We start from the raw sequence: 14,087 nt of genomic DNA, 5'->3' as shown, positions 1-14,087 counted from the left end.
AAGTTGAAAATGAATGAACAGTTTTATGTGGCTACATTTTGACAACCAATAAGAGTAGGAAGTATGGATGATCAAATTCTCTTTGTCCCTTGATTTCTGTTATAAAATAAAAGATATATTCCTACTAAAAATTTTTAAACTGGTACATTCTATTGATAGGAAGGAGTTAATGCCTTTGTAATAGAATGACTTATGATATTTACTTCAATATTTCTAATATTCCTTTTTTCTAAAAATGGTTCTTTTTTTTTCATCATTCTCACCAGATTACCTTTGCACTACAGAACATTTTTTCGTCTCTGGATCCACAGTTGATTTTGTCGCTCTTGTAGTTTGGATCCCCTCACTCCCTTCTGCTATGTGGGCATTTCCATTGTTTCAATGCCTGCTATGTCTCTCTTGGTTGGGAATTGCCATCATGTAACCCAGAAAATCCTAAGAGTTTTAATACTGTAGATACCTTTGAGATCTGGCTTGTTTGTTTGTGTTGGTTTTGTTTTGATACCCTTTTTTTAAACCTTTAAATGAGTAATAAGATGTTGCAGTGTGTACGGTGTATTTAGAAAACAAAGGTAAATGAGTTAAACTTTGCATTCATATCAACTTGAGATCCTTTTTGAAATGCCTTCATTAAATTCCTTCTTATGTGAGATGTAAGATTGACTTTTTAAGCTAGTTTAATCTGTAGTTTCTGAAAGTACATTTCATTTAGCATTGTAGTGTTCAGTCTTAAGTTCTCTCTTTGTATTTTATATGACTAGATGGAATATTTATTTGATGCATTTAATTTTATATGGAGTACTATCTAGGGAGCATAAACAAACATGACTTGCTTTTTAAAAAAGCCATACATATCTGTCCTTGGGTGTAAACTATTACATAACCATGGTAAGAGTGACACTTCATGCATGTGTGAAGGATATTACCGGCCCTGGAGAAAGAGGTGCTTTGTAAGATGGAGGCAAAATAATTTGGATTTTTTTTTCCTTTTTTTTTTTTTTAAATTATACTTTAAGTTCTGGGATACATGTGCAGAATGTGCAGGTTTGTTACATAGGTATACACGTGCCATGGTGGTTTGCTGCACACATCAGCCCATCATCTACATTAGGCATTTCTCCTAATGCTATCCCTCCCCTAGCCCCCAACCCCTGACAGGTCCCAGTGTGTGATGTTCCCCTCTAGAGCAGGGATTTTTAACGTTTTATTTGCCATAAATCCTTTTGATGGTTTAGGGAAGCCTATGAATGCTTTCTTAGATGCTTTACATATATTTAAAAATATTTAATGTATTCTAAATGCATAAGGTAAAAATACATGGATTACAGAGGAAACCAATTATATAAAATATAGTTATCAAAATACTAGAAAACTTTAATGTGGTTTATAAATATGTTTATTAATGCATACAAAATGAGATAGCAACAAATCCATGATAATAATGATATGATAGGAAGAATCTGTGATTTCTTTAAGTGATGAAGGTGCAGGTCCTGTTCAGTCTATTGCAGTTAGTTGCATACATTCATAACCTAAGGAAATGTAATACATTTCAGTTAGTGGTTAAAAAGATGTATTTTCATTTCACTCACTTTCACAGATTCCCAGAATTCTGTCTAGGTACTGTATGTTAAGAACCCTCGATCGAGAGGCATGAGTATAAAAAATTGCCAGCCTGTGAACTTCTGTTTTCTTTCTTGTGATGTGAAATCCTCTTATGTGGTTAGAATGGTCTCAGACTCTAAGACAAATCAGGACCAAAGGCATACTTGATATGCAGCTCAGTGCTTTTACTTTCTTCACATTATTCACTGATTTGGAAAACTGCAGTTCTGTCTTGCCTTCAAAATCCATCCCCTCACGAGGTCAGGAGATCGAGACCATCCTGGCCAACATGGTGAAACCCCATCTCTACTAAAAATATAAAAATTAGCTGGCATGGTGGCACGTGCCTGTAATCCCAGCTACTCGGGAGGCTGAGGCAGAAGAATCGCTTGAACCAGGGAGTTGGAGGTTCCGTCTCAAAAAAAAAAAAAAATCTATCCCCAACTTAGTGCCCTCTTTTTATGACCTGATATTATTCCCAAGACCTTGTTTTTATTCTGTTCTATTATTATTATTCTTATTATGATTGAGACGGTGTTTTACTCTTGTCATCCAGGCTGGAGTGCAATGGCATGATCTCTACTCACAGCAACCTCCTCCTCCCAGGTTCAAGCAATTCTCCTGCCTCAGCCTCCTGAGTAGCTGGGATTACAGGCACCTGCAGCCACACCCAGCTAATTTTTTTTTTTTTTTTTTTTTTTTTGAGACAGAGTTTCACTTTTATCACCCAGGCTGGAGTGCAGTGGTGTGGTCTCTCAGCTCATCACAACCTACACCTCCCCGGTTCAAGTGATTCTCTTGCCTCAGCCTCCGGAGTAGCTGGAATTACAGGCTCCTGACACTATGCCCAGCTAATTTTTGTATTTTTAGTAGAGACGGGGTTTCACCATGTTTGCCAGGCTGGTCTTGAACTCCTGACCTCAGGTGATCTGCCCGCTTCGGCCTCCCAAAGTGCTGAGATTCAGGTGTGAGCCACCGTGCTCGGCTAATTTTTATATTTTTGGTAGAGACGGGGTTTCACCATTTTGGCCAGGCTGATCTTGAGCTCCTGACCTCTGGTGATCTGCCTGCCTCGGCCTCCCAAAGTGCTGGGATTACAGGCGTGAGCCACTGCGCCCAGCATGTTCTGTTATTTTGATTATTTTTTAGACCTTCCAAATTGCCTTTTTTCTTAACTACCTTTGCCTATTTTTGAAAATTGTTTTTTAATATACAGTAAAATTTTTATAAACAGTTCTGTGATTTTTGATAAACGCATAGAGTTTTGTAACCACCACCAGAATCAAGATACATAACAGTTTTCCATAAAAAACTTACTTGTGCTGTAGTAAGTTTTTTACTTACTACCTCTGTAGTTGAACCCTCGTCAACTCTTAAACCCTGGCAACCAGTGATCTGTTGTCTATCCCTACAATACTGTCTTTTCTAGAATATTATATAAATGGAGTAAAATAGTGTATATAACTTTTTGAGTCTGGCTTCTTTCATGTAGCTTAGTGCATTTGAGATTCATCTATTTTCTTTTATGTATTAATAGTTTATTCTTTTTTATTGTTGAGTAGTATTCCATTGTATGGATGTATCACAGTTTGTTTATCCATTTATCAGTTGAAGACACTGACTTTCCAGTTTTTGAATAAAGCTTGCCATAAACATTCACATGCATGTTTTTGTGTGAACACAAGTTTTCATTTTTAGGAAGGGGATTGCCGGGTTATATGGTAAGTGAATGTTTAATTTATAAAAAATCTCCAAACTGTTTTCCAAAGTGGGTGAACCATTTTGCATTCCAGCCAGCAATGCATGAGAGATCCAGTTGCTTAGCATCCTTGCAGGACTTGATATGGTTAGTTATAGAAATTATAGTCATTCTAAAAGATACATAGTAGCATCTCATTGTGGTTTTAATTTGCATTACCCTCATGAGTAATGATATTGAGCACCTTTTCATGTGCTTATTTGCCATTTGTACCTCTTTGTTAAAGTGTTCATTGAAATATTTTGCCTATTTAAAAATTGTTATTTCTTGTTGAGTTTTGAGAGTTCTTCATATAATTCTGAAAATAAGTCCCCTGGCAGATACGTGCTAATATATATTTGCAGTCTGTAGCTGTCTTTTCATTCTCCAACAATGTCTTCGGCGGAACAAAAGCTTTTGCTTTTGATGAATTCATCGCTTTAAAAAAAAATAGATTGTACTTTTGTGCTGTATCTAAGAATTTGCCTAAACCAAGGTCATGAAAATTTTCTCCTGTGATCTCTTTACTTTTAGGTGTGTGACCCATTTTGACTCAGGTTTTTATATGAGTGTGAGGTATGGGTGAAATTTTTTTTTTTTGCATATCACTTTCTAGGTTTTCCAGTACCATTTGTTGAGAAGACTATCCTTTTTCCCTTGAATTGCCATTGTACATTGTCAAAAATCAGTCAACAATACCTGTGTAGGTCTCTTTCCATACTCTATTCTGTTCTATTGATTTGTATGTCTATCTTGATTAAATATCATAATGTCTAGTTTACTGTAGCTTTTTTTTCTTTTTTAATTAAAAAGGAGACAGGGTCTTGCTGTGTTGCCCAGGTTGGTCTCGAACTCCTGGGCTCAAGCGATTCTCTCATCTCGGCCTCCCAAAGTGCTGGAATTACAGATGTGAGCCACTGTGTCCAGCCTACTGTAGCTTTATAGTAAGTTTTGAAATCAGGTATATTGAGCCTTTCAATTTTTTTCTTATTTTTCAAGATTGTTTTGGCTGTTCTAATTTCTTTACCTTTCTTTATAAATTTTAGAATTAGCTTGTCAAATATCTATAAGAAACACTGGTATTTGATTGGAATTACATTCAATTTACAGATGAATTGGAGAGAATTGACATCTTAACAATATTAAGTCCTCTAAACCAAGAACATGACATAGTCTCCATGTATTTAGGTCTTTGACGTTTTTTTTGTTAGAGCTTTGTAGTTTTTTGCGTAGCATATAGATTATGCTCATGTTTTATTAGCTTTATACATAAGTATTTCTTTGGGTTTGGCGCTATTGTAAATGGTATTGTTTTTTAAATTTTGATTTCCAGTTGTTCACTGCTAGTACATAAAATACAGTTGATTTTTGCATATTAACGTCATGTCCTTCAACCTTGCCAAATTCACTTATTAAATTCCAGGAACTTTTTTGTAGATTCCTTGGGATTTTCTACAGAGATAACTATGTTGTCAGAAAATAATGACAGTTTTATTCCCAATCTGTGTACTTTTTCTTTTCCTTCTCTTTTTCACAGTGTAGGAGTTCTAATAAAATGCTGAATAGGAGTGATGAGAGCAAACTCCTTGCTTTATTCTTGATTTTCTGTGTTGTTTTTCTGTTTTCACTTCCATTGATTTTTTGTTTTTATTATTTCTTCTCCTTGCTTTGGATATAATTTACTCTTGTTTTTTAGTTTCTTAAGGTAGAAGTCATTGATTTGTCTTTTCTTTTTTTCTTGTATAAGCATTTAATGCTCTTTCCCTCTAAAGCACTGTTTTGACTATATCCTACACATTTTTATATAGTATTTTTGTTTTCTTTTGGTTCAAAGTATTTGTGATTTTCTCTCTGAGTCATGGATTATCAAGAAGTTTGTTTAACCTCCAAATATTTGGAGATTTACCAGAAACTCTTCTGTTACTGATTTCTAGTTTAATTTTATTACTGTTAAAGCATATACTTGGTGTGATATCAGTTCTTTTAAATGTGTTTTATTTTACAGCCTTGAATACAGTGTATTTTGGTAATGGCATGTTCAAAACTTTTATTTATATTTTACTAGCTTTATTGAAGTGTCAGTGACATACAATAAACTACACATACTTAAAGTATATTATTTGATGAGTTTTGATACACTTGTGTGCATCAAGATAGTGAACATACTCATCATTTCCAGAAACTTCCCTGTGCAAGTGCTGATCTGCTTTCTGGCACTATAGATTAATTTGCTTTTTCTAGAGTTTTATCTAAATGAAATCATACAATGTGCATTCTTTTTTGTCTTCTTGTTTTATTTTTTATTTATTTATTTTTGAGATAGGGTCTCATTCTGTCACTGAGGCTGGAGTTCAGTGGCATGATCATGGCTCACTACAGCCTTCCCAGACTTCCCAGGCTCCACTCATCCTCCTACCTCGGCCTCCCAAGTAGCTTGGGCCACAGGTGCGCATCACCACTCCTGGCTAATTTTTGTATTTTTGGTAGAGACAGGGTTTCATCTCTCAAACTCCTGAGCTCAAGCAGTCCACCCGCCTCAGCCTCCCAAAGTGCTGGGATTACAGGTGTGAGCCTCCGTGCTTGGCCAGCCCCTTTTTCTTTTACTTACTATGATTTTGAGATTCAACAATGTTGTTGCATCAGTAGTTCATTCCCTTTTATTGCTGAATAATGTTTATTATATGGATATGCCACATTTGTTTATCTATTTACCTGCTGATGGACATTTTGGTCTGTATAAATAAAGCTGCTGTGAATATTCTTGTTCAGGTCTTTTTGGGGACATACACTTTTTTTTTTTTTGAGTAAAAATTCCTGAGTGGAATGCCTTGGTCATATGTCAGTGTATGTTTAGCTTCCTTTCCTTTCTTTTTTTTTGTGGTTGTGGGACAATCCATGGAAATGCATTTAAGGAACTGAGAAACTGCCAAAAGTGGAGGTACTATTATTTTATGATCTCATGGTACTGTAGGATAGATTCTGTTCTGCTACATACTTGTCAACATTTAGTATAGTCTTTTAAAGAGTTGGGGTATGTGTCCCCTCTAAATCTCATGTTGAAATGTAATCCCCAGTGTTGGAGGTAGGGCCTCGTGGAAGGTGATTGGATCATGGGGGCAGATAACTTCACAGGTTGGTGCTGAGTTCTCTCAAGATCCGGTTTTTTAAAAGTGTGTGGCACCTCCCCCAACCCCGTTGCTCCTGCTCTGCCATATGAGATGCCTGCTGCCTTTCATCTTCCACCATTATTATAAGCTCCCTGAGTACTCCCCAGAAGCTGAGCAGATGCCAGTGCCATGCTTCTTGTACAGCTTGTCCAATAAAACCTCTTCATTATAAATTATCTAGTCTCAGGAATTTCTTTATAGCAATGCAAGAACAGCCTAACGAGATTTTAGTACCACTGTCTTGATAACTGATAGAACTAGTAGACAGAAAATCCCTACAGATGTCAGCCAACTTAACCTAATTGACATTTATAAAACACTCTAACCAACAATAGGCAAATACACATTCTTTTCAAGTACATACAGATCACTGAGATAGTTCTTATTCAAAGTAATTAAACAAGTCTTAATAAATTTAAAGGGATTCAAAACATACAAAGTGGGTTATCTGACCACAATAAAATTAAATTAAAAATCAGTAAATGAAAAATCGCTAGAAAATTCCCAAATATTTGAAAGCTAAATAAAATGCTTCTAAATAACTCATTGGTCAAAGAAATCAAAAGGGAAATTTAAAAGCAGAATGAATTAAATGAAGATTAAAACACAAAATGTCAAAATTTGTGTCATACTACTAAAGCAGTGTTCAAGGAAGGAAATTTATACCACTGAAAGTCTACACTAGAAAGCCTCAAATCCATGACCTCTGTTTTCATCTTAAGAAATTAGAAAAACAAGAGCAAATTAAATCCAAAGTAAGGAGGGGGAAAAAAATAATGGTCAGACTGAAACCTATGAAATATAAAGCATAAAATCAATAGAAATAATCAAACCTTTGAGAAGATCAATAAAATTAATAAATCTCTAGCCAGAGTGGGGAAAAGAGAAAGAAAGAGATAAATTAAGTTTCAGGAATGAAACAGGTGATGAGACTAAGAGGTTTTAAAGATAGTAAAAGAATGATTAATGAATACTATAAACTGTATGCCTGTAATTCAACACCTTAAAGTGGACAAATTCCTTGAAAAACAAAAACTGTAAAGCTTAACCAAGATAAAATAGATGACTTGAAAAGTCCCATATCAATTAAGTAAATTGAATTTGTAATTTAAAAACTTCCAACAAAGAAAATTCCAGGCCCAGATGCCTTTACTGGTGTATTCTTACAAAATTTAAGGAAGAAGTAATGCCTATTCTACACAAACTCTTCTAGAAAATCAAGAGAAAAGAACCCTTCCCAGCTCACTTTATGAGGCCATCGTTACCCTGAGGCCAAAACCAGACAGAGATATTCTAAAAGAAAAGTCTACAGAAAAATGTTCCTCATGAACATAGATATAAAACTTCTAAACAGACGTTTAGCCTATCAAGTCCAACAAAAACATGAAAAGAAAGACACACATGGCCAAGTACATTGTCCTTCCCAGGAAGGTAAGTAAGGTTGGTTTAACATCCAAAAATGCAATGAATGTAACTCAACATATTTCTAAACTAAAAAGAAAAACCACACAACAATCTCTAAAGTGGCAGAAAAAGCATTTGACAAAATCCAGCATGTATACTTGATTAACACTCTCACAGCCTAATAGAATAAAACTTCCTCAAGCTGATAAAGGACATCTACAAAAACCCTACAATTAACATGACACTTAATAATGAAGGTCTGAATGCATTTCTTCTAAGATCAAGAACAAGCCAAGAGTATGTTCTCACTACTACTAATCAATGTTATTCTGGAGATTCTAGCCAGGGCAGTAAGGCAAGAAAAAGCAACAAGTATAGTAATAATACTGTCTTGATGGGCAGATGACATGTTTGTCTATGAAGAAAATTCAATAGAATCTTTAAAGAAACTCTTGAAACTAACAGGTGAGTTTAGCAAAGCTATACCCTATCAACAAAAAATAAAAAATTAAAATGAAAAACAATTTTTAAGTAGCATAAAAATGCTAGGTACTTACAGAGAAAGCTGAAAAAAACATATATAAGACACACTAAAATCTACAAAATACCACTCAGAAAAAAACTTAAAAGACTTAAGTAAGTGGGGGAAAATATTGGTTCTTGTGTCAGAAGAGGAAATACTTTTTTTTTTTTGAGACAGAGTTTTGCTCTTGTTGCCCAGGCTGAACTGGATTGGTGTGATCTCAGCTCACCACAACTTCTGCCTCCCAGGTTCAAGCGATTCTCCTGCCTTAGCCTCCCGAGTAGCTGGAATTACAGGTATGCACCACCATGCCTGGCTAATTTTGCATTTTTAGTAGAGATAGGGTTTCTTGATATTGGTCAGGCTGGTCTCGAACCCCCGACCTGAGGTGATCTGTCCACCTCAGCCTCCCAAAGTGTTGGGATTACAGGCATGAGCCACCGCGTCTGGCGAGGAAATACTTTTAAGTGGCCAATTTCTCCAAACTGATCCATAGATTTAGTGCAATCCAAACTAAATTCCCAGCAGGACTTTTTTTTTTTAGAAATTGACAGACTGATTCTAAAATTCATATGGAATACAGACAACCTACAAAAGCAAAACAACTCTGAAAAGGGAATACAAAGTTGGAGAACCAACGCTACCCAATTTCAAGACATAATTATAAAGCTACAATACTCAAAGTAGTGTGGTACTCGCATCAAGATAGACAAACAGATAAACAGAAGAGACAGAGCCAAAAAATAGACCCCTTTATGAACTGATTTCCACCAAAGGTGGAAAGGCAATTCAGTAAAGAAAGAACAGTCTTTTAAAGAGATGTAATTGGTAAAATTAAATGCCTATATATATTTTTAAAATCCTTCAATCTGTACATTAAACCGTATATTAATAGAAAGTTTAACTCAAAATGTAAAACCTAAACCTATAAAACTCTAGAAGAAAACATAGGAGAAAAATCCTTGTGACCTGGGCTTAGGAAGAATTACTAGGTATAACATTAGCAGCACAATCCCTAAAAGAACACCAGACAAATTGGACTCCATAAAAGTTAAAAATTTCCGTTTTTGAAAACTATTGGAGGATTTAAAGACAAACTACTGACTGGGAGAAATCTTTGCAAAGCAGATACTTTTGTCCAGAATATATAAAGAATTCTCAAAACTCAACAATAAGAAAACAATTCAAGAAACATTGAGCAAAAATTTAGAACAGACACCTCACCAAAAAAGATATGTAAATGAAAAATTAGCATTTTTTCAGATGCTCAACATCACTAACCATTAGGAAAAATGCAGATTAAAACCATAATGATAACATTACATACTTATTAGAAGGACTGAAATTAAAAAGACTATGTTAGTCTGTTCTTGCATTGCTATAAGGAAATACCTGAGACTGGATAATTTATAATGAAGAGGTTTAATTGGCTCATGGTTCTACAGGCTGTACAAGAAGCATGGCACTGGCATCTGCTCAGCTTCTGGGGAGGACTCAGCTTATAATCATGGTGGACGATGAAAAGGAGCAGGCATCTCATATGGCAGAGCAGGAGCAAGGGGGTTGGGAGAGGTGCCACACACTTTTAAAAAACCGGATCTTGAGAGAACTCAGCACCAACCTGTGAAGTTATCTGCCCCCATGATCCAATCACCTTCCACGAGGCCCCACCTCCAACACTGGGGATTACATTTCAACATGAGATTTAGAGGGGACACATACCCCAGCTCTTTAAAAGACTATACTAAATGTTGACAAGTATGTAGCAGAGCAGAATCTATCCTACAGTAGTGTGAGATCATAAAATAATAGTACTTCCACTTTTGGCAGTTTCTCAGTTCCTTAAATGCATTTCTATGGATTGACTATAATTTTGGGTTTGTGTATTTATTCATGCAGCTTATGCTGTATGTATTTTGGCACTCTGTAATTAGGTATATAAATTTTCAGGATTTTTGTGATTGACCTCTTTATCATTATAAAATTGACCTGTATTTTTCTCTGAAATTTACTTTGAACAAGACTCCGTCTGCAATCCCGGCACCTCGGGAGGCCGAGGCTGGCGGATCACTCGCGGTTAGGAGCTGGAGACCGGCCCGGCCAACACAGCGAAACCCCGTCTCCACCAAAAAAATACGAAAACCAGTCAGGCGTGGCGGCGCGCACCTGCAATCGCAGGCACTCGGCAGGCTGAGGCAGGAGAATCAGGCAGGGAGGTTGCAGTGAGCCGAGATGGCAGCAGTACAGTCCAGCTTCGGCTCGGCATCAGAGGGAGACCGTAGAGGGAGAGGGAGGGGGAGGGGGAGGGGGAGGGAGAGGATACACCAACTTCTTAACCTTGTTAGTTGTCTTATCTCCTTTATAAAAATGCTTTACTCTTTTAGATATGCTAACCAGAATTATGCCACTTTCTAAAAGTGGTCCCTATATGGATTTATTAAAAATATTGCATATTTTCATTTCCTTTGTGCTTTTATTTATATTTAAAATTGTATCAGGAAATCATTCATTTAGGAATAGGGAAGTGGCCTGTAACATGTGGTGGCTAGAACTTGCATTTTGGTGCTAGAACTAGCTGGATTGGACTGTGACACTTATCAAACCACTCACTCTAAACCCTTCTTTGTAGTGTTGTTTTAAGAATTAGAGCAAGTGGGCTGGGCACTGTGGCTCACTCCTGTAATCCCAGCACTTTGAGAGGCCGAGGCAAGTGGATTGCTTGAGACCAGGCGTTCAAGACCAGCCTGGCCAACATGGTGAAACCCCGTCTCTACTAAAAATACAAAAATTAGCTGGGCGTGGTGACACGTGCCTGTAATCCCAGCTACTCAGAAGGCTGAGACAGCAGAATCGCTTGAACCCAGGAGGTGGAGGTTGCAGTGAGCCGAGATGGCACCACTGTACTCCAGCCTAAGGCTACATAGTGAGACTCTGTCTCACAAAAAAAAAAAAAAAAAAAAAAAGCAAGTACATCTAGGCTACTTAATATAGTATTTTGCCCATAGTAGGTGCTTAGTTCAATGTAGTTACTGTTATTATCATTTTAGTATTATTATTCTCAGTGTTTGTCTTCTTAACTACTGTATCCTCAGTGCTGTCACAGTGCCTAGCATCTACTTGGTGTTCAATAAATATTTGTTGAATAAATGTATTCATCTGGCCTTTAAAATCCTGGCATTAGTAAGATCATAATGTTGCATAAGATATGGTGCTTACTAATAAGAAGAAGATTCCCTGATAAATAGAAGCATCTTGCCTTTTAGAATAAGTAATAGGAGCTCCTACTGCTGTAGGAGCAGTGTGATACAGTATAAAGGATAGTAAACCAATGTTTGAAGCTGGGTGACCTTGAGAGAGTTGCTTAAAACCTCTCTCAGCGTTAGGTTTTTTTTTTTTCCTTTCCTTTTAATCTGAGCAAAGGACAGGCCAGCTGATTTTTCACATATTTTCCAGTTCCAAAAATGTGTAATCGTCTGAAAATTGAGCTTTGTAGGTCTATAAACTATTTCTATTTCCATGCTTTAAAAAGAATCCAGGAGTGGTGGCATGCACCTGTAATCCCAGCTACACAAGAGGCTGAGGCAGGAGAATTGCTTTAACCTGGGAGGCGGAGGCAAAGGTTGCAGTGAGCCAAGATTGCGCCACTGCACTCCAGCCTAGACGACAGTGAGACTCCGTCTCAAAAAAAAAAAAAAATTCTCAATGTTAATTTTTATTTTAAAGCCTAAGAATTAGCATTTTAGGCCAGGTGCGGTGGCTCATTCCTGTAATCCCAGCACTTTGGGAGGCTGAGGCAGGAGAATCACTTGAACCTGGTAGGCAGAGGTTACAGTGAGCCGAGATCGTGCCATTGCACTCCAGCCTGGGCAACAAGAGCAAAACCTCATCTCAAAAAAAAAAAAAAAAAATTAGCATTTTAGTAAATATAAACATATATATATGTGTGTATATATATTTATATATTTTATAAATATAGATTTATACATTTATATATTGTATATGTGTGTGTGTGTGTGTGTATACATATATATATATATTTTTTTTTTTTTTTCTTTTGAGATAGGGACTCTCTTGCCCAGAGTGGAGTGCAGTGGCATGATCATGGCTCACTGCAGCCTGGACCTCCTGGGCTCAAGTGATTCTCCCACCTCACCCTCCCAAGTAGGCGGGACTGTAGGCACACACCACCATGCCTGGCCAATTTAAAACAAAACATTTTTGTAGAAATGAGGTCTCTCTGGGTTACCCCAGCTGGTCTTTAACTCCTGGGTTCAAGCAATCCTCCAGCCTCGGCCTCCCAAAGTGCTGGGATTACAGGCATGAGCCACCGCACCTGGCCATCATTGTAATAAATATTTTAATATAGGTTTCTTAGGTTTTTTCTTTTCTGAATTTTTTTAAAGATAATTGCTATTTAGTTTTTGAAACCTTTGCTAAGATGCCTGTATTTCTCTCATGTAAAGTATTTTGTATGCATACAAATAAATGGTAATCCAGTTCACTGTATTTTTTTTTAGTTGAGATTCTAGTTTACTTATGTTTCTTCTGAATATCTTTGCTCTCAAGTTCAAGTTTAGTTATCCAATAATTGTGACTTACTCTGGTTAGGGGTATAGTAGTGTTGAGAATCTAAATGGGAGAAGTGAATAGTAAAGTTTTGTTTTTAAGTTAGAATGCAACTTTGTAAGACTTAAAGAAATTCAAAGGAAAGTGAACCTGGGGGAATCATAAGCAGAAAGCTAAGAATATTGGTATATGGGAGGAATATAAAATATCCTTATTCAGTTATACCGATGTATTAAAAATTATCCAAAACTTTCAGAACTGATTTACTCTGTGTTTGGGATTGACCATTTATAGTCAGTAACTCTGAGTCATAAAATGAGAAAGAAACATTTAGATGAAGAATCAGATAAAGAAAAATACCTCTAACAACATAATACAGATATTGCAACAAGGCAGAACAAATTTGAAATTATATTGAAATTCTAGTGAAGTGAGAATCCAAAGTAATTTCTAGTGAACAAGGAATGATGAATGAAATGTAGTCTTATAACTGCTGTTGTTATTGATTGAAGATGTGGAAAATCAATGCTATTTTTTTAGAATGCTATTCAATTTGCCTTATTTTGGTAAATATAACAAATATTCATGTGGTCAATAATGGTCTTAATCTTCATTACCCTATATTTCTTGTCTTTCATATGATTTTATTCCAGAGGTTTTTCAGGAACCTGATCTTTCTTGTGCAGAGGATGTTTATACTGTTCTAATGTACAGTGATAGACTTAGCAATATAAAATAGAACATAGAGAAATTTCTGTCCAGTAAATTTAGAGAAACAAACTTGAGTTATGGTTTGTATTTAAATCAGAAACATCTTTCTTTTACACTTAATAAAACCTTTCACATCATATTTGATATTTGACTTTTGTTTTTTTTTTTTTTTCTTTGAGATGGAGTCTCGCTCTGTCAGCAGGCTGGAGTGCGGTGGCGCGATGTTGGCTCACTGCAATCTCCACCTCCCCAGTTCGAGTGATTGTCCTGCCTCAGCCTCCAGAGTAGCTGGGGCTATAGGTGCACACCACCACGCCTGGCTAATTTTTTGTATTTTAGTAGAGACGGGGTTTCACCATGTTGGCCAGGATGG

The 14,087-nt window shown here is 36.4% G+C and overlaps 1 protein-coding gene across 4 annotated transcripts in view; it reads left to right on the top strand.

Annotated features, from left to right (window-relative positions):
• CHIC2 (cysteine rich hydrophobic domain 2) overlaps positions 1-14,087 on the top strand; it is an 82,091-nt gene that overhangs the window by 48,868 nt on the left and 19,136 nt on the right. Inside the window, exon 4 of one of the 4 annotated variants that reach the window (XM_011534382.3) lies at positions 267-472. The exons of the other annotated variants lie outside the window; for them this stretch is intronic. Coding sequence (XP_011532684.1) covers positions 267-332 — 66 coding nt within the window. The 3' untranslated portion in view covers positions 333-472. Of the gene's footprint in view, positions 1-266; positions 473-14,087 lie in introns of those variants that run through there. 4 annotated transcript variants of the gene reach the window in all.

The sequence above is a fragment of the Homo sapiens genome, chromosome 4, assembly GCF_000001405.40.
Source record: "Homo sapiens chromosome 4, GRCh38.p14 Primary Assembly".
NCBI classification, from domain to species: Eukaryota; Metazoa; Chordata; class Mammalia; order Primates; family Hominidae; genus Homo; species Homo sapiens.
The sequence above is the reverse complement of the archived record's forward strand: the minus strand, read 5'-3'. Positions and strand labels throughout refer to the sequence as shown.